Source organism: Homo sapiens, chromosome 4, assembly GCF_000001405.40.
Source record: "Homo sapiens chromosome 4, GRCh38.p14 Primary Assembly".
NCBI classification, from domain to species: Eukaryota; Metazoa; Chordata; class Mammalia; order Primates; family Hominidae; genus Homo; species Homo sapiens.
In genome coordinates, this window is record NC_000004.12 from 151,337,171 (window position 1) to 151,358,874 (window position 21,704).

At 43.4% G+C, this 21,704-nt stretch overlaps 1 annotated feature.

The window, feature by feature from the left end:
• Positions 3,847–4,141: a silencer, noted in NCBI's record as "tiled region #2958; K562 Repressive non-DNase unmatched - State 24:Quies". NCBI's record gives its function as "represses a minimal TATA promoter and a strong SV40 promoter by Sharpr-MPRA in K562 cells {active_cell/tissue: K562}" and the evidence as "EXISTENCE:reporter gene assay evidence [ECO:0000049][PMID:27701403]".

Sequence of the window (21,704 nt, forward strand, 5' to 3'; positions counted from 1 at the left end):
AAATGCACATATCATGTGAACACATGATAAATACATATGTATACATGTGTACATACACACTGTAAACTTCCCTGAGGTATAAAACATTATATTAGTTTTCTATTGCCTCATATGAAATTACTACAAATTTAGCAGCTTGATAACAGCATCCACTTATTAGCTGACAGTTCTGCCTAGGCTAGGTCAAATAGGTTTCTGGTTAGGGTCTCACAAAGCCAAAATCAAGGTGTGGCCTAAGGCAGGCTCTTATCTGGACGTTCTGGAGAATAATCTGTTCCCATGCTCACTCAAGTTGCTGGCAGAATTCACTTCCTCGTGGTTGTGGGACTGAAGTTACCATTTTCTTGCTGGCTCTCAGCTCCCAGCAGCCACTCTTGGGTTCTTTCCACGTGGCCCCTCCATCTTCAAGTCAGTAACGGTACACTGAATCCCTCTTGTGCTTTGAATACCGGCTTTGTCGTCTGCAACCATCTAGAGAAAATTCTCTGCTTTTAAAGGTTTCATATGTGTATGTTAGGCCCATCCAAAATAATCTTCACACAACATAGCATAATGGTAGTGGTGATATCTCATTATATTCTCAGGTTCCACCCACAGTCAGAAGGATGAGGATTGTTGGGGATCATTTTAGAAGTCCATCTACCACAAACATTGTCTCACCTACCTTCAAAATTTGTCAGTTGAGAAAGTTCTTCAACCTAAGAAATTTCCTAAACAGAGTGCTTTTCTGAATTAATAATGTCTTAAAAATCAGTGAAATACAATTATACAAAGTCTGCATTTAAAAGCCAGCTGAGATTTGTTGAACTCCTGTTATGGATTAGGTACTGTCTGAGGCACAGGGGATACAGAAGTGAATAAAGCAGACATAGCTCCTAATGGCTCCTCCTTACTACTCTATCTTTGACTCCTTGTTTGCTTTGTCCCCCATTTCAATCAGACTGCAACCTCAAATGCCTTCAAGGACCAAGATAATATAACTGAGCAAGACAATGAGGAAATGGGAAGATCAGGTGAACGGGAGAGCTGACGCCCATTTGAGAAGGGCAGCAGCAAGTCAGTTGCTGCAGGAATGTGGAACCAGGTTTTTCTTTTCAATTTTCTTTCTTTCTTTTTTTTTTTCTTTTTAGAGACAGGGTCTTGCTTTGTTGCTCAGGTTGGAGGGCAGTGGCATGATCATAGCTCACTGCAGCCTTGAGCTCCTGGGCTTAAGTGATCCTCCCACCTCTGCCTCCCAAGGTATTGGGATTACAGGTGTGAACCACCACACCTGGCCTGGGACCAGTCTTGACAAGAATTCTGGTGATGACAGCAGAACTCAACAGAGTACCCAAAGCAACAGGTCACAAAAAGGTTCTTGGGGCCAATGCAAATAAGTCTATTAGCAGATATCCTGCCCCAAAAAGTGCCATGATAGAAAAAAGGAGAAAAGCGCTGTACTGGGAAATAATAGGGGTACGCAGGTATCAGACAGTAGCCAGAGGAGCTGAAACACAGAGATGCCTGAACTGGACACCACACAGAGCACTGAGCAATAAAGCAAGGTATTGCCCGTTATGTATTCAGAGAAAATGACAGGTTTTGGGTTCATGGTTCGGAATGCTGAGGTTGGCCTTGCTGGGGGTTCTCTACTTTATGGCCTTATCTTTCCTGCTTCCCTGAATGGAAGAGCTGCCAAACAGGACCACTAGCCATTCTCTGTGCTGACCTACAAAAACTCCAACAACAGCCAGGACCGGTGGCTCACGCCTGTAATCCTAGCACTTTGGGAGGCCAAGGCAGGCAGATCACAAGGTCAGGAGATCGAGACCGTCCTGGCCAACATAGTGAAACCCCATCTCTATTAAAAATACAAAAATTAACTGGGCGTGGTGGCGCACGCCTGTATTCCCAGCTACTCAGAAGGCTGAGGCAGGAGAATCGCTTGAACTCGGGAGGCAGAGGTTGCAGTGAGCCGAGATCTTGCCACTGCACTCCAGCCTGGCGACAGAGCGAGACTCCATCTCAAAAAAAAAAAAAAAAAAACAAAAAACCCCAAAACAAAAACAAACAAAAACAAAAAACACCAACACCAGTGCTCAGCCCTCAGCCTGGAGCACCATCCTCCACATCTTCCTGGCTCAATTAGAGACTCTGCCTTCCTTAGGAAGCATCTCCTGAACCCCCTCTTCTCCCCAACCTAAATCCTGTTTCTCCTCTCTTTAGCCCCTATGCCACTTTCTACCTCCCCTTGTGAACATTTCACACTTGTCTGGTACAATTGTCCGTAGATGCATGTCATTCACCGAAATATTACCAAGTGCTCCATACCTCCAGAAAAGAAAAATTACTAATCTTACTCTATGCCTTACATCTTAGTATTACATCTTACCATCTTTCATATTAATATTGTATGCCCTTGCTACGAAGTGTGATCCATGGACCAGCAGCGTCAGCATTACCTGACAGCTTATTTAAATACAGAATATCAGCTCCACCCCAGACCCATTGCATCAGACTCTACATTTTAATAAGATCCCCAGGTGATTCACATGCACAGTAAACTTTGAGAAGCACTGCTCTATGCACTCACCAGTGCAAACCTATTGCAATGTAATGATTAAAATGTCTAACTTGAACACTTTGGTATAATTTTCTGGTATTATCAGACTGTAAACTCCACCAGTGCAGGGACTGTGTTTGCCTTTATCATGACTGCATTCTTAGTGCCTGACACCAAGCTAGGTACAGAGTAAATCCTCAGTAAAAACTGATTAAATAAGTAAATAACATTGGCAGAAAACGTGTACGTTTTTATTATGGGAACAAGAAGATACGCTATTAAAATGACCTCTTTTGGCTGGGCATGGTGGCTCATGCCTGTAATCCCAGCACTTTGAGAGGCCGAGGCAGGTGGATCACTTGAGGTCAGGAGTTCGAGACGAGCCTTGCCAACATGGTGAAACTCTGTCTCTACTAAAAATGCAAAAATTAGCCGGGTGTGGTGGTGCACGCCTATAATCCCAGCTACTTGGGAGCCTTTGGCAGGAGAATGGCTTGAACCCAGGAGTCAGAGGGTGCAGTGAGCTGAGATCCTGTCACTGCAATCCAGCCTGGGTGACAGAGCAAGACTCTGCATGAAAAAAACAAAACAAAAAAAAACACCTCTTTTGGTTTGCTTTCATCTAAGTTATACTTTAAAATATATCAGATTAAATAGGTATTGATAATGTTCTTGAATTGTTCTTAATGGAAACTCAATGCTAATGCATTTTCTGTTATATTAAAATCAATACCAAATGTATTATTTAAAAAGCTAGGTGGAAATAATATTCTTCTTCCCCCAGTAGAGTACAAATAGCACCCTGCTCCTTCACTTTAAATCATATGATGTTTTCAACGGTGTAATAGAGATCAAAGGTAAATTTTCTATTTATTTATATTTCTCAAAATAAAGAGGCCATAGGATGATGAAAGTAAATGTCCTCATTTGCAAGCAATCCAACAATCTGGGGAAAAGAGTGTGAGTGAGTCTTCTTTAAGGACTTGTTCAATTTCAACATAATTTTCTGAACCTTCTGTTTGAATTGGTGTTTATTCACAAAACTTGTTATGTATGGAATCTTGATTACTGTGCTTCCCTCTAATTTTGCTTCTGAAAGACAAACATTTTTGCTTACCTTTGCTTATGTAGTGTCTCCATAGTAATTGTCAGAACTCTTCCTCAGCAACAAACCCACCACATTGACCTTAGCAAGACCAAAAATGTCTTACACAGAGCTTGTCTTATTCTGTGCATTCCAAAGGGAATGTTCAGCTTCAGCAATTCTTAGAGCTAAATATCATGAGCAAAGTAGTGGGACTGACATATTTTACGAGCGTTAGTACTTGGAGGCCCTTTCATAGCCTGGCCATGACCAGCATCCACTGCCCACTGGTCCCCTCCCCACCCTCTGCTTGTCACTGTCCTCAACACAGCCTTCTCTTTAATGTCTCCACCTGGGCTAAGATAGCAGGAATGAAGAGAAAAGATGGACTTTGGACAAACTCAGGTTCACTTCCTCATCCTGTGATTTTAACTGCTCTGAACTGTTTATTGATCAGTAAAGTAAGAGATAGCAATAACTAGGCCAGGTGCGGTGGCTCACACCTGTAATCCCAGCACTTTAGGAGGCCGAGGTGGGCAGATCACCTGACGTCAGGAATTTGAGACTAACCTGGCTAACATGGTGAAACCCTGTTTCTACTAAAAATACAAAAAATTAGCCTGGCGTGGTGGCATGTGCCTGTAATCCCAGCTATTCGGGAGGCTGAGGCAGGAGAATTGCTTGAACCCGGGAGGTGGAGGTTGCAGTGTGCCAAGATTGCGCCATTGCACTACAGCCTGGGCAAAAAGAGAGAAACTCAGTCTCAAAAAAAAAAAAAGAAAAAAAAGAAAAAAGAAAGAAATCGCAACATCTAGCATTCAGAGCTGTTGTAAGGACTAAGTGAAGTAATAACGGTTAGCATTTAACGGGCACTTATGTTCGATGATTGTGCCAAATGCCCAATATTCAGAATTCTTTTTTTTTTTTTTTGAAACAGAGTCTCGCTCTGTTGCCCAGGCTGGAGTGCAATGGTGCGATCTTGGCTCACTGCAACCTCCACTTCCCGGGTTCAAGCCATTCTCCTGCCTCAGCCCCACAAGCAGCTGGGACTATAGGCATGCACCACCATGCCCAACTAATTTTTGTACTTTTAGTAGAGACGGGGTTTCACCATGTTGGCCAGGCTGGTCTCGAATTCCTGACTTAAAGTGGTGGCTTACTCCTGTAATCCCAGCACTTTGGGAGGCCAAGGCAGGAGGATTGCTTGAGTCCAGGAGTTTGAGACCAGCCTGGGCAACATGGCGAGACCCTGTCTCTATATAATAAAAGAAAATTTTTTTTTTGAGACAGAGTTTCGCTCTTTTGCCCAGGCTGGAGTGCAATGGTGTGATCTCGGCTCACTGCAACCTCCGCCTCCTGGGTTCAAACGATTCTCCTGCCTCAGCCTCCTGAGTAGCTGGGATTACAGGCGCCCACCACAATGACCAGCTATTTTTTGTATTTTTAGTAGAGACACGGTTTCACCATGTTGGCCAGGCTGGTCTCAAACTCCTGACCTGGTGATCCGCCTGCCTCGGCCTCCCAAAATGCTGGGATTACAGGTGTGAGCCACTGCGCCCAGCTCAAAATAAAAAAATTTAAAAATTAGCTGGGCACAGCATTGCATGCCTGTGATCCCAGCTACTTGGGAGGCTGAGTCAGGAGGATCACTTGAGCCCAGGAGGTCAAAGCTGCAGTGAGCCATGTTGGTGCCACTGCACTTCCGCTTGAGCAACAGAGCAAGACCCTGTCTCAAAAATAGACATAAATAAATAAATAAATAAATAATAAAGCCTATAAATTATTTTTAAATAAAAAATTAGAATAATATGAACATAATAGCTTTAAAGTAGAAGACAGGCTCTATAATAATTACATCCAGCAAATATTTATTTACTGTCTATTCTGTGCTAGGCTTGGTGCTAGGTAGTGGAGTCATGTAAATGGAAGACCTTGTCTCTTCAGGGGATTTCAGTCCCATGCGAAACAGAGAGATAAAGAGATAATTTCCAATACACTGTGACAGGCTCAGGTATGCACAGAGGAAGCACATCTAATCCAGGCTGAGAAGGAGCTGTGGCTAGGGCAGGGAATTCTTGCTGGAGGAGGTTCTGCCTGAACTGAGTCTTAAAAACAAGCGGGCATTAACCAGGCAAAAAAGAGAGGAGGGTCTAAGAAGAGATTTCCAGGCATGATCAAAATAGAGAGTTATGAACACAGTATTCAGTGACTTACAAATAGTGAAATATTGCTGTGGCCAAGAGAAAAGGATTGTAAGGGCAACAGGTGAAGCTGGTGAGATAAGCAGAGGTAAAATTATAAATAGTCTGTGTGTGTACCACACCAAGAGACCCATTGATGGGGCATAAAGATCCATGGAAAGGTTTTTTTGTTTTTTGTTTTTTTGAGATGGAGTCTCGCTCCGTTGCCTAGGCTGGAATGCAGTGGTGCAATCTGGGCTCGCTGCAACCTCCGCCTCCTGGATTCAAGTTATTCTCCTGCCTCAGCCTCCTGAGTAGCTGAGATTATAGGCATGTGCCACCACGCCTGGCTAATTTTTGTATTTTTAGTAGAGACTGGGTTTCACCATGTTGGTCAGGCTGGTCTCAAACTTGTGACCTTGTGATCCGCCCGCCTCAGCCTCCCAAAGTGCTGGGACTACAGGTGTGAGCCACCATGCCCGGCCTTCCACAGAAGGGTTTTAAGCAGCAGAGTAAACAGGTGGCCAGGAAGAGCAATGAGAAGGGCTAGTATTTTTTGTTTGTTTGTTTTGTTTTGTTTTTTTCTTGAGACAGAGTCTCACACTGTCACCCATGCTGGAGTGCAGTGGTGCAATCTCAGCTCACTGCAGCCTCCACCTCCCAGGTTCAAGCAATTCTCGTGCCTCAGCCTCCAGAGTAGCTGGGACTACAGGCACACGCCATCACACCCAGCTAATTTTTGTATTTTTTAGTAGAGATGGGGTTTCACCGTGGTTGGCCAGGCTGTGGTTCTGAACTCCTGGCCTCAAGTGACCCGCCCGCCTCGGCCTCCCAAAGTGCTGGGATTACAGGCGTGAGCCACTGCGCCTGGCCAGGGCCAGTATTTTGAATTCATCTTTCTGTTTTTATCAAACCCTCCATTTCTGGGCAGCATTGCTGCTATCACTTAGGTCATTTGTTTCCTTGGAAAAGGTCTGGGAGCTGGCAGTCAAGGAAAATTTGGATTGGAGATTTTAGCAGCCAAATGGAGATGGAGTTGGGCATGAAATAGAGGCAGAGAACACGGATGCTTTATCTGGCTGCTCATGGCCCATCGAGGCTGCTTTTCTACAACACAGACTCTTTCCATTTCAATCCACTACTCATCAGCTCAACCCTGAGGATGCCATCTCCATAGTTCCAAAAGAGGACATAATTGAAATGTGTAAGGAATATCGCCATAAATTGTTCTTTTCTTCTCAAATCTTTTATTGATCACTGTATGTGGTTAATATAGAAACTGAAGAGCAAGCACAAAGCCAGATGCATATGAAAAAAACATGAAGGTACTATTAAACGAGATCTTGTAGAAGATAAGCTGAGTAGAATTTCTGGGCCATAAACTGGCTTCAGCTTCCATGAAAGTGTATAGGAGCCACTTCTGGGGAAATCAGTGGGCAAGGTTATGGGTGAGATCTGGGAAACAGAACTTAACTAAGGTTGGAGCAACTGGAAGGTGGCCTGGGTGCAGGACATCTGGCAAGACTATGGTCAGGGAGAGGGTTGCTCTGTATTTTCTGCTTCTAAGTTCACCAAAGCCCATCTCCAGTTCTGGAGTAGATCAAAGAAGAAAACTTCTGTGGGATTTAATGAGTGTCCTCAGCTTATCCAGGCAGTAGGTCATAGTGGGCAACAGATGGGTAGGAGAAGAGAAACGCCATCAAAACATGAATAAGGCAAATCAAATACAAACAGCAACCTGGAATAGGCTCATACAGGCATTTGATTTGCAGGTTTTAAAAAGTACTAAAATGGTAGTTGACATCTTAGTGATAGCCTCTGCCGATGCATCTTCTTTCTGGCATTGCATTGTTCTAATTTGGAGTTGTTGCCCTCTACATCTGATATACAGCTAGTAGACCATCATCCTCAGGACTCCCTTCTATTTCCTTAGCGGGATCTTCTGTTTTCCTATAATCCATACCTTCTTCCTTCTTGATTTTCTCCATCTTTTTAATTTAGCACATCTTAGCTTAGCTTCTTAAGAAAGGAAAAGATTCTTGAGAATTTATGTATATTTCACCTTTATTCCTTTTTAAAAAACTTTTTTTGGAGACAGACTCTTGCTCTATTGCCCAGGTTGGAGCACAGTTGTGCAATCATAGCTCACTGCAGCCTTGAATTCCTGGACTCAAGTGACCCTCCCACCTCAGTCTCCTAAGTGGCTAGGACAGCTGGTGCATGCCACCATGCCTGGATTCTACCTTTATTCTTGATGAACAATTTGGCTGGGTATAGAATTCTACCCAGAAAATAATTTTCCTTTAGAAATTTGGAGGCATTGCCCCACCGTCTCTAGCTTCAGGGTTGTTGTTGAGAAGTCCGATGCCATCTGGATTTCTACTTCTTTGGATGTGCTTTTTCTCTTTGGAAGTTTTGGGTATTTTGTCTTTGTGCCTGGCATTCTAAAGCTTCATGATAATATGCTTTGTATGGGTCTGCTTCCCTTCACTGAGCTGAGTACTTAGTGGGCCCTTTCAATCTGGCAATTTAGGTCTTTCTGTTACCTTTCATGTTAGAGGATTTCTTAAGATGTTTGGTAATCCTGGTTGTCTGCTCGTATTCAAGGGTGAGAAAGCAAAAAGCTGCATAGTAGAAGCCCTGTGCTTTGGGGAAGACCTGTTGCCCAGGAACTTTACTGTAAGATGAAATGGGTAGGCTCTTTGTTGGGGAATTCTAACCACACCCTATCCTCCTCCATATTACCTCTTATCACTATCTTTGGGGATTTTTTTTTTCCTTTTGGGCTGGTAATATTCCTTTAAGAAGGCTTTTCCAATCTTCCACTTGGAAGGTGAGAGGATCTGAGCATTTAGCATGACTGCATTAATTAATCAATCCCAGTTTTCTCTCTAGAGTCCCTATCCCCTTCAGCTATGGCTAAGAAGTGGACAAACCTCTGCATCTGTTAGGACGGAGGAGGGGCAGTTACCCAGTAGAAAGGAGTAGAGAGCATGCATATAAGAAGTACTACTACTTTTTAAGTAGTTCCCAGCCTCCAACCAGTTCCCTTATTTTATTCCTTCTTCATCTTCACTCTATATCCTGAGGATTTTGCAATGCCAGTAACTTAGCATTTGGTTTTCTCGTCTGCTAAGTCCTTTATCACTATTCTCTGGCCTCCAAAATTCTGTTGCTATTGCTTCATCTCATTCTCTCCTCGTTCTTGAGGGTTTTAGTGGGGTTCTGGAGGGAATCAAATTACATGCATTTGTTTAATCCATCATCTCTACCTGGAATCAACTGTCAAACATTCCAAAAAAACTGAGATTTATTTATCTACTAAATACTGAGTGTCTGTGATGTTTCTGGCACCTTGATAAATGCAGGAGATGAACTATGATTTATCTTCATAGTGATAACTGATGCTCTAACATAGTGTTTTGAAAAGAAAAATGTGCCTTTCCTCGCTACCATCCTGAAATTCTATTTTGTGAAGATTGGTAAATGCTGGGGTTATTTTGGGCTAGGGCAGCTTCATAACTGATACTGATTTTAAACAACATCTAGAAGATTTGGATCATTTCTGACATCACCCACCCACCCGTCCACCCCGGATGTATTTCTGAGTGAACTGGCCTAATACCTAATTCTAAGAGTGTATGCCAACTTATCTTAAAGGCCATTCATTCTGAACACTGCATAAAGCAAGATCAAACACCTCAAGCTCTGACCGAAGGGTGAGTATGCAGCTGTCTTAACAAAATTTTTATATACCCTTGATTGTGTCTCTGGTCCTGGTGGCAATTTATTCTAGATCTTGTCTTCAAAGTTTGGCAATCACAATGATATGATAACAGGAGGGAGGTTTAACATTTATTGAGTGCCTACTATGTATCAAGCAGTGGCCTTGATACTTCACAATTAGTAACTCATTTAACGTTATTCCTTAATAAATTCATAAGCACAGCAAAATTCTCCTGGAGCAAAGCAAATAGTTCAAGCATATGTCACTTTCTTTTCATTGTTCTCTTCACTCAGAATTCAAACTCCAGTTCTACATTTTTGTATTCTATTGTATAAAATCTCTTGATGCCAAACAGACATATTTGTACAAATCACATGCATATGAGGGTGTGCTCTCAGAAATGTTGATAACCCTACTCTACCCTGTTTTTATATTCCAACAGATAAACCGTATACACCTAGCAGCATGGCCCAGTTGCTCTGGTGGTAGGTTTGGTGCACCCATGGAACAGAAAGAGGCCAGGCAGGCTCCCATCAGGACCAAACCCCATGAGCTACAGTGGCTGCCATCTTTTGCCTGAAACACCAGTGTCCACTGGTGATAAGGTTTTACTTTGAGAAAACTTTCTTTTGGCCTCCAAACTTTGTCCTGACATTGAGAGGATACACAGTTTTGTTTTGTTTTTTAATGGATTGTGTCATCTTAAATTTCTGGCCCTGACTATTGATCAGAGTCTATGATGAACTGGCAAAGAGAAAATTATCTCTGCTTGTTACTGGTATCTTACACTGGCAAAGAACTGAACGATTTCTGGAGTTCTTCATCTTTTACATGAGTCAGGAAAATCACACATTTGGAGCAACTATCAGTAATAATGACATTAATAATTACATTTTATTTTTGTGAAGGTTACAAAGCAATATTATGCAAACTAGTTCCCATCAATATCCTTGAACTTGGTATTCTTTGATTTATAACTGTGTGAGTCAAAGATTATACTGTAAAATCATTAAAGACTAACACAATAAACATCAGCTAATGATTTTCCAATCTCAGTTTAAAGGTATGGTTTATGTTGAAAATTCCCCACCCCCGTAATAGAACCCCCTCAAAAATCATGAGAACAAGGAATTGTAGCAAATAAGCTGTTTGAGCCTTAGAAGCAGTACCTTAAGACAGAAACATAAAATCTCGGTGAGGGAAGAAACACTGAAGGTCAAACGTCTACCTAAATCCTGCTCTACATTCAAATATTCTTCCGCAGGGGAAGGCTCTAAACGCTCCTAAAAGCATTTTGCATTTCCTAGATAGTGGATTCTCCCTCTAAGCCAGTGGGTTCACAGGAGTAGGAAGGAGAACTGGGGGCAGTGGACAATAAGGAATTAGAAAAGGAGAAGAGGAAGGGAGAGAAACGGGAACTGCCTTAGGGAGAGAAGAGTGGAAAGTTTACAGGCACACTCGTTTTATTGAGCTTCACTTTATTGCACTTCGCAGATACTATATTTTTTACAAATGGAAGGTTGGAGCAAGTCTATCCATGCCATTTTCCCAACAGCACATACTCACTTTGTGTCTCTGTGTCACGTTTTGGTATTCTCGCAATATTTCAAACTCGTTCCCAGTTTGTATATCTGTTAGGATGATTTGTGGTCAGCAATCTTTGGTGCTACTATTGTAACTCTTTGGAGGGCTCCACAAACCATGCCCACATAAGACGGCAAACTTAATTGATAAATACTGTGTGTGTTCTGACTGCTCCACCGACCAACCATTCCCACTTCTCTTTCTGTCTTCTCAGTCCTCCCTGTTCCCCAAGACACAACAATATTGAAATTAGACCAGTGAATAACCCTACTATAATCTTGGGCGACATAGTGAGACCCTGTCTCTAGAAAACATTTAAAATTATTAACTGGGCTAGGCCAGGCGCAGTGGCTCACACCTGTAATCCCAGCACTTTGGGAGGCTGAGGCGGGCAGATCACCTGAGGTCAGGAGTTTGAGATAAGACTGGCCAACATGGTGAAACCCCGTTTCTACTAAAAATACAAAAATCAGCTGGGCGTGGTGGTGGGCACCTGTAATTCCAGCTACTCAGGAGGCTGAGGCAAGAGAATCGCTTAAATCCAGAAGGTGGAGGTTGCAGTAAGCTGAGATTGCACCATTGCACTCCAGTGTGGGCAAGAAGAGTGAAACACTATCTGAAAAAAAAAAAAAATTAGCTGGGCTTTGTGGTGAGCACCTGTAGACCCAGCTACTTGGGAAGCTGAGGTGGAAGGATCACTTGAACTCAGGAGGTCAAGGCCGCAGTGAGCCGTGTTCACACCACTGCACTCCAGCCTGGCTGATAAAGTGAGACCCTGTCCCCCAAACAAACAAACAAACAAACAACAACAACAACAACAAACCCCTACAATGGTCTCTAAGTGCCAAGTGAAAGGAAAAGTTGCATATCTCTCACTTTATTTATTTATTCGTTTATTATTGTAGGGATTATGTCTCTCACCTTAAATAAAAAGCTACAAATGATTACACTTATTAAGGAAAGCATGTCAAAAGATAGGCTGGGCGTGGTGGCTCATGCCTATAATCCCAGCACTTCGGGAGGCCAAGGCGGGAGGATCACTTGAAGACAGGAGTTTAAGACAAGACTGGGCAATACAGTGAGGCCCTGTCTCTAAAAAAAAAATTTGTTTTTTAATTAGCCAGGCATGGTGGCATGTGCCTGCTGCCTGTGGTACCAGCTACGTGGGAGACTGAGGTGGGGGGGTTGGTTACTTGGGCCCAGGAGGTTGGGGTTGCAGAGTGCTGTGACTGCACTACTGCACTCCAGCCAGGGTGACAGAGTGAGACTCTGTCTCAAAAAAAAAAAGCTAAGATAGGCCAAAAGCTAGGCTTCTTGCACCAGTCAAGTTGTGAATTTAAAGGAAAAGTTCTTGAAGGAAATTAAATGTGCTACTTCAGTGAACACACAAAGGATAAAAAAAAGTGAAACAGCCTTATTACTGACATGGAGAGAGTCTGATAGAAGATCAAACCAGCCACAACATTCCTTTAAGCCAAAGCCTAATCCAGAGCAAGGTCCTAACTGTCTTTAATTCTATGAAGGCTGAGAGAGGTAAGGAAGCTGCAGGAAAAAAGTAGGAAGCTACTTTTTCCTGAGATTTAAGGAAAGACGCCATCTCTGTAATATAAAAGTGCAAAGCGAACCAAGTGCTAATGGAGAAGCTGCAGCAAGTGATCCAGAAGATCCAGCTAAGATAACTGATGAAGGTGGCTACACTAAACAACAGATTTTCTTTTTTTTTTTTTTTTTTGAGACGGAGTCTCATCCTGTCGCCAGGTTGGAGTGCAGTGGCGCGATTTCGGCTCCCTGCAACCTCCACCTCCCGGGTTCAAGTGATTCTCCTGCCTCAGCCTCCTGATTAACTGGTCTTAGAGGCACCCGCCACCACGCCTGGCTAATTTTTGTATTTTTAGTAGAGACGGGGTTTCACCAAGTTTGCCAGGATGGTCTCGATCTCTTGACCTTGTTATCTGCCCGCCTTGACCTCCCAAAGTGCTGGGATTACAGGCCTGCGCCACTGCGCCCAGCCAACAGATTTTCAATGTAGGTAAGACAGCCTTATATTGGAAGAAGATGGCATTTAGGACTTTACTAGCTAGAAAGAAGTCAATGCCTGGCTCCAAAGGACAGGCTGACTGCCTTGTAAGGGGCTAAAACAGCTGGTGACTTTAAGTTGAAACCAATAATCATTTACAATTTCTAGAATTCTAGGCCCCTTAAGAATTATGCAGCTGAGCACAGTGGCTCACATCTGTAATCCCAGCACTTTGGGAGGCTGAGGCAAGTGGATTGGGCAACATTGCAAAACCCTGTCTTTACAAAAATAAAAATAAATTAGCTGGGCATGGTGGCATGCACCTGCAGTCCAAGCTACTTGGGAGGCTGAGGTGGGAGAACTGATTGAGGCAGGGGCTGTGATGATTGCACCACTGCGCTGCAGCCTGGGCAACAGAGTAGACTCAAAAAAAAAAAAAAAAAAAAAAAAAAAAAAAAAAGAATTATGCTAAATCTGCTTGGTCTGTGCTCTGTCAATGGAACAATAAAGCCTGGATGACAGCACATCTGTTTACTGTACGGTTTACTGAATATTTTAACTCTACTATTAAAATGTACTGCTCAGAAAAAAAAGATTCCTTTCAAAATATTACTGCTCATTTACAATGCACCTAGTCACCCAAGAGCTCTGATGGAGATGTACAAGGAGATTCATGCTGTTTTCATGCCTGCTAACACAACATCCATTCTGTAGCTCATGGATCAAAGGGTCATTTTGACTTTCAAGTCTTATTACCTGAGAAATACATTTTGTAAGGCTATTACTGCCATAGATAGTGATTCTTCTGATAGATCTGGGCAAAGTAAATGGCCAGATGATTCAAAGGATGAGGTCACCATATCAACACTGAGTTTGGAAGAATTTGATTCCAACCCTCATGGATGACTTTGAGGGGTTCAAGACTTCAGTGGAGAAAGTCATTACAAATATGGTGGAAATAGTAAGAGGATTAGAATAAGTGGCGTCCAAAGATGTGACTGAATTGCTGGAATCTCAGGATAAAACTTGAATGGATGAGGAATTGTTTCTTCTGCATAAGCAAAGGAAGTGGTTTTTTGAGATAAAACTTACTCCTGGTGAAAATAACGTGAATATTGTTGAAATGATAACAAAGTATTGAGAATATTACATAAACTCAGTTGATAAAGCAGTGGCAGAGTTTGATAGGATTGACTCCAATTTTGAAAGAAGTTCTACTGTGGGGAAGATGCTACCAAACAGCATTGCATACTACAGAAAATTCTTTTGTGAAAGAAAGAGACAATCGATGTGGCAAACTTTGTGGTTATCTTAAGAAATTGCCACAGCCACCCAAACCTTCTGCAACCATCATCCTGATCTGTCAACAGCCATCAATCTAAAGGCAAGACCCTACACCAGTGAAAAGAGTATGTCTCACTGAAGTATCAGGTGATCATTAGCATATTTTAGCAATAAAGTATTTTAAAATTAACGTATGTAGATTTTTTCAGACATAATGTTATTGCACAGTTAGTAGACTACAATGTACTATAAACATGACTTTTATATGTGCTGAGAAGCCCAAAAAATTGTGACACGCTTTATTATGGTGATCTGGAAAAGAACCCACAATCTCCAAGGTATGCCTGTATGTTTTTCAGGGGACACTGACCCCCCTCACCATGGACCAAGCAGAGCTGGTGATGTGGAGATACACAGAGAGAGAAAATAGACTCAGCATTCAGGGAGTTTACAGCTTAGTGCAGAGGGAAGAACCTCTTGCATGAAGCAGTTAAATTTAGAATCTGCCACTGAGTCACTGGTAAACTCTGAGAACTGGACTAGTAAAATAAAGGCAAATCAGATTATACTGGATACAGATACTCTCAGATACAGGTACTTTAAAGGGACCGAACAACTCTCAGGCCAAGCACATGATTTGTTCAGAGCAGAATTGGGAGATGTTAACTTATCTACATAAAGAGTTTGGGCCGGGTGCGTGGCTCACGCTTGTAATACCAGCATTTTGGGAGGCCAAGGCAGACAGATCCCTTGAGGCCAGGAGTTCGAGACCAGCCTGGCCAACATGGCAAAACCTCGTCTCTATTAAAAATAGAAAAATTAGCCACCTGTGGTGGTGCGCACCTGTAGTCCCAGCTACTCGGTAGGCCGAGGCAGGAGAATTGCTTGAACCCAGGAGGCAGAGGTTGCAGTGAGCCAAGATCTCACCACTACTCCAGCGTGGTGACAGAGCAACAGTCCGTCTCACACACAAAAAAAGTTTGGTCACCAGTTGGAGGGGACCAACTGGTTGCAAGTTAGGACCAAAAAAGCAAGTCTGAGGGTCTCTTGGATGCCTAATCCCATTCTGAGGAGAGACCCAAACACTGGCTTCAGAGAAGTTCCCAGTTGTGGAGACGGCCTCACAGGGGCCTGCAGGTGCCACCACCAGGACTGCCTGCCATCCTCTGCTGTAAGCCCACTCTTAGCAACACCTTCTGCATGATCTGGTGTTGCAGGTACATCTCCGTGAAGTTTTCCTGGGTAGTATTTCCACCTCCTGGTTAGCATTAACCACTCCCTTCTCTGTCTCCACATTTATTGTGTACATACCTCTCTTGTGGACCAACCATACTGTGTCCGGAATTGGTTCCTCCCGGTGGGTTCTTGGTCTGGCTGACTTCAAGAATGAAGCCGCGGACCCTCGCGGTAAGTGTTACAGTTCTTACAGATGGTATGTCTGGAGTTTGTTCCTTCAGATGTTCAGATGTGTCTGGAGTTTTTTCCTTCCGGTGGGTTTGTGGTCTTGCTTGACTTCAGGAGTGAAGCCGCAGACCTTCGCAGTGAGTGTTACAGCTCTTAAAGGTGGTGCGTCCAGAGTTGTTTGTTCCTCCCGGTGGGTTCGTGGTCTTTCTGACTTCAGGAGCGAAGCTGCAGACCTTTGCAGTGAGTGTTAGGGCTCTTAAAGGTGGCGCGTCAGGAGTTGTTTGTTCCTCCCGGTGGGTTCATGGTCTCGCTGGCTTCAGGAGTGAAGCTGCAGACCTTCACAGTGTTACAGCTCATAAAGGTAGTGCAGACCCAGAGAGTGAGCAGCAGCAAGATTTACTGTGAAGAGAGAAAGAACAAAGCTACCACAGCATGAAAGGGGACCGTAAGTTGCTACTGCTGGAGCTGGTGGCCAGCTTTTATTCCCTTATTTGGCCCCGCCCACATCCTGCCGATCGGTCCATTTTACAGAGCACTGATTGGTCCATTTTACAGAGTGCTGATTAGTCCGTTTTTACAGAGTGCTGATTGGTGCAATTACAAACCTTTAGCTAGACACAGAGCGCTGATTGGTGCGTTTTTACAGAGTGCTGATTGGTGCAATTACAAACCTTTAGCTAGACACAGAGCACTGATTGGTGTGTTTACAATCCTTTAGCTAGACAGAAAAGTTCTCCAAGTCCCCACCCGACCCAGAAGCCCAGCTGGCTTCACCTCTCAATACCACACAGTATTTGTAATGCTTGGTTTACACATCTGTCTCGCCTACCATATTGGAAGACAAGGAGCAAATCCTAGACATTTTTGTGTTCTTGGTGCCCCTGCCCAGTGCTTGGCACTCAGCAGATGCTCAGTCAATATTTGAATGACTGGATGAGTGAGTGAGTGAATGAGTGAATAAATGAATGAATGATAAATGATCAAATAAATAAAAGGGTACGTGGAAAATTAATGTGAGCAAAGAGTTCAAGTCAACACTGTACCCAGGGAACAATGCTAAGAATGACCTGCACAAAGCCTGTGTGAAAAGAATCAAAAGAAAGTAGATTAATAGAGTTAGGCCAGGTAATTAAAGGCCTTGAGTGCCAATAAACGTTCCTTTGTTTATTCATTCATTCCCCTAAAACATGCTGTTAACTTTTTTAGGTTTTGTCTCTATCCTTAGAGAGTACGGAACTGAGGGGAGAGGATGCCCTCACTACAGCTACATTCAAAGGCAGATGGTGGCAAGGGGCAGAGAGGCACAACTAAGGGGCCGTGGAGGTTCAAGGATCAATAAGTCACTTTTGGTTGTGCTGACAGAGAAGCATTTGAGTTGGACTTCAAGGGTAAGAGGACCAGCAAAAGGCACGGCATCAGCAGGGTAGCAGAGGTGGGATTGTGCAAGGAATATAGGGAGGCTGAGAATGGCGCCCCATGGCTAAAGCAAATCAGGAATCAGAGGGGCAAGATAGAAGATAAAGAAGATAAAAATGTAAGAGAGGTGGTTCATGCCTGTAATCCCAATACTTTTTTTTTACTTTAAGTTCTGGGATACATGTGCTGAATGTGCAGGTTTGTTACATAGGTATACATGTGCCATGGTGCTTTGCTGCACCTATCAACCTGTCATCTAGGTTTTAAGCCCCACTTGCATTAAGTATTTGTCCTAATGCTCTCCCTCCCCTTGCCCCCATCCCCTGACAGGCCCTGGTGTGTGACGTTCCCCTCCCTGTGTCCATGTGTTCTTACTGTTCAGCTCCCACTTATGAGTGAGAACATGGTGTTTGGTTTTCTGTGCCAGTGTTAGTTTGCTGAGGATGATGGTTTTCAGCTTCATCCACGTCCCTGCGAAGGATATAAACTAATGTTTTTTCATGGCGGCATAGTATTCCATGGCGTGTATGTGCCACATTTTCTTTATCCAGTCTATCCAATCCCAATACTTTTGAGGCCAAGGCAAGAGGATTGCTTGAGCCCAGAAGTAGGAGACCAGCCTGGGCAACAGTGAGATTCTGTCTCTACAAAAATTTTTCAAAAATTAGCCAGTTATGGTGGTGCATGCCTGTAGTCCCAGCTACTGGTAAGGCTGAGGTGGGAGGATCACTTGAACCCAGGAGTTGGAGGCTGCAGTAAGCCGTGATCATGCCACTGCTTTCCAGCAGTGACAGAGCTGAGGCAGAGCAAGACCCTGTCTCAAAACAAACAAACAAACAAAAAAGATGTAACAAGAGGTTAGGTGAGCCTTGCAGGGTGTTTGTCAGGCTAGGCTGAGTGCACTAATTTCAGGAGGAGCTGGGGAGCGTGTGGTGACTTGCTGCAGGTTTGGGTAGGGCTAATTACTATAGGCACTGAGAGCTGTCAGCCCAGCACTGGATACAAAGGCGAGGTAAATCTTTTTGACAGGCTTACCTAAGGTTTTGAATTTTTTTTACTGTATAATTAAGTGTCAAATGCTGAGGTAGTTTCTGAGGTTTTTGTATAAAAACTCGTTCTTCTCAGGTTGCCCTTTCATGGCACCAGATACTGTCATTATCATTGTGTAGTGTTTGAAGACAGATCTCAGCTGAGACAGATAACCATAGACCTAGAACATGGTAGGTTCTCCCCTGCCTAGTTAGGACACCCTTGATCATGGGGTCAGTGAAGCCTCTAGAAAATGTACTATGAAAACTTTCAGTTTATCAGTACTTGGCACATATTAAACCTCAGTGACTGTTAGCCCAGGTATGGCTGTACTTACATATGGGAAAAACATTTCATGTTCTGTAGTCTTAGAACAGAATACAAGTGTATTTTTCAGGATTCCATTGGTTCTAAGTGACAGCCAAAACCACTTATGCCTTGCATTAGATTTATTGGAGAGATACTGAAGTAGCTCACAGAACTGAAAGAAAAGCCAGAAGTAGGCAGCTCTGGGTGCTTGGAGATGATAGCTGGGCCAAGGCTGCCCAGATTGTCTATTTACCATTCCCTCTGCCAGTGGGGAGCAGGACTTCTGGCAGCCCCAGATTCACGTCCTTCCTGCATCGTGACCTAAGAGGCAAGAATGAGCCTCCTCTCTATAGCTCCAGTAGACAATTCTGGATAAAGGCTTGGAACTCCTTGGTTTGATCTGTGTGCCTCCTGCCCTCACACTGAAGTGTGGTGGGTGGGGTGATGGGGACAGAGCACCATGATCAACTCAGCATGGGTTATACGCCCTCCCCTGTGGTCAGGGAGTCTGGGACTCTGCCAGAGGAGTGGGGAAGAGAGCAGGTACACAAAGACAACAACTACTATGCAAAGGCAAAAAGTCCCGTGTAGGTGCTCATTTGACTTTGGCTGGAACTCTGAGGGTTTCCTGATTCAAATTCCAAAGACTTAAATTTTTGACTGGGTTCCACTCAACAGAGTATGAATCAATGATGTCCCCATACTTCAGTGTACCTTAATTATGTCTTAATTACTTCAGAGTCACTGACACTGGCTTAAGTCCTTCAAATTGTTTAATTTAAAAGGTATTTCTTTTTACCTTCAATCTCTGTTTATCTTGAAAGACATCTTTTAATTTTCTCACTTAGACATGGAATTTTCTATGTCTAAAAGCCAAATGTATGCATTAAAAGACACTCATAGTAGCTTTTGTGAGTTGTGTCCCCTAAGGACCAGGCAGTGACTTGGTCATGACTCACCAGCTGCTGATCTGTAATAACCCTTCCAGTGTCTGAACCTGCAGTGGGAGCACTGGTGCTGGCCCTGCTGGGTCAGAGCTGAAGAGGGAAGGGAAGAGAGGGTCTCCAGCAAAACAGCCAAAGGAAAGGCTTATTCTTTTTTATTTTATGTTTCATAGAGACAGGATCTCGCTAGGTTGCCCAGGCTGGTCTCAAACTTCTGGCCTCAAGCAATCCTCCCATCTCAACTTCCCAAAGTGCTGAGATTACAGGAGTCAGCTATGGTACCCAGTCCTTAAAATGCTGGGTTTTTTTAGATGGAGTCTCACTCTGTCACCCAGGCTCGAGTGCAGTGGTGCAATCTCAGCTCACTGCAGCCTCCGCCTTCCAGGTACAAGCAATTCTCCTGTCTCAGCCTCCCAAGTAGCTGGGACTACAGGTGCACGCCACCATGCCCAACTAATTTTTGTATTTTTAGTAGAGATGGGGTTTCACCATATTGGTCAGGCTGGTCTTGAAGTCCTGACCTCAGGTGTTAAATACTCAGAGTATTAAAAATTGTCTCGGCATCCCGAAGTGCTGGGATTACAGGCATGAACCACTGTGCCCAGCCCTTAAAATGTTTTTAAGCATTTAGGACAGGATCTGGGAATATAATAAACATTTGTAGTAGGGCAGAATAGGAGAGGTGGCAATCCACAGAAACAATTTTCTTCCTTATTCAGATGTCTTGAATAAAAGCCTAGTATATTAAATATCCTGATTAAGAAGGACAAGTTAGCCAGGCACCATGGCTCATGCCTATCATCCCAGCATTTTTGGAGGCTGAGGCTGGAGAATCACTTGAGACCAGGAGTTCAAGACAAGCCAAGGCAACATGGCAAAACCCCATCTCTACAAAAAATACAAAAATTAGCATGGTGGTGTGTGCCTGTAGTCTCACCTACTCAGGGGGCTGAGGTGGGAGAATCACCTGAGTCCAGGAGGTAGAGGCTACAGTGAGCCATGATTGCACCACCACACTTCAGCCTGGGCAGGGCAAGACTCTGTCTCAGAAAACAAAAAGACAGGTTGCATCAAATCTAAGGGTCCATTCAATTTTTAATACTCTAATTACATTATACTTGATATTTCTTGAAATAAAATGACTTTCAGTTGGAAATGCTTTTGTTCTAGTGAATTTTTATACAGTTGTACTTTATAGTGGATTATGCCTATGTATATATAGTCAGTCAAGACCTGAATTCAAATAATTTACCCCAAATGACTCTATACCACTTGTTCTCAACCAGGAATGATTTCTCCACCACTGAATACATTTATCAACGTCTGGACACATTTTTGCTTGTCATGACAGGACAGCCCTTTACACTCTTACAACAAAGCCCCAAATGTTAAGAATGCTGAGGTTGAGAAGGACTGTGAAGGACTATTCTCTCTCTCTCTCTCTCTCTCTCTCTCTCTCTCTCTATATATATATATATATATATATGCAAAAGTACAGTCATGAAAGAAACAGACTGAAAGTGATCTACAGTAAAAACAGGACTTTTCCAAGGAAAATGTGAATGAGTGGTAAGGGAGGTACTGAGGTGAATGGCATGTCAGAAGAGTCTGTCTGTGGAGACTAGAGATGATCAAGATGTCAGGTTTCTAAACAAGTCAGCCAACTTTCCAATCCATCTGCCAAGAGCTCAGCCCAATTCTGCCTCAGCTGAGTGACCCATCTGTAAGCCTTGGCTACTGGAGACAAAAGTGCTGCTATCTCTTCATAGAACTGGGCATAACTGCAGAGTAATGCACACTAGCATTCTTGTTAGCAGTTGGCAAGTTCACAATTAGCGCAATTGTTTCTGAAAGCGTGCGAGTGCACTATTGCTTCATGTTATTAATGTCTGCAGTGTGCTAGGAATAAAAGGATGGCTGGGGGGAGGGGATACATACATTTTAATTATTCAAATACATGCAGAATTCAACAGCCTTAAAGACTATTTCTGAGGCTCCTTCCTGCATCGACACAACGTGTTAGATTCTACCAAGAACTCAAAATAATTCCCTTGCTTTGAGTTGGGATTTAAAAGATACCCATTAATTCTCTTGGGGTACCAGGTGAACATTTGGTCATTCCTGTTGTGGGGGGAAAAAAGAAAAAAAATCAGAAATAACACAGCATGGACTGGTAAATGTCCC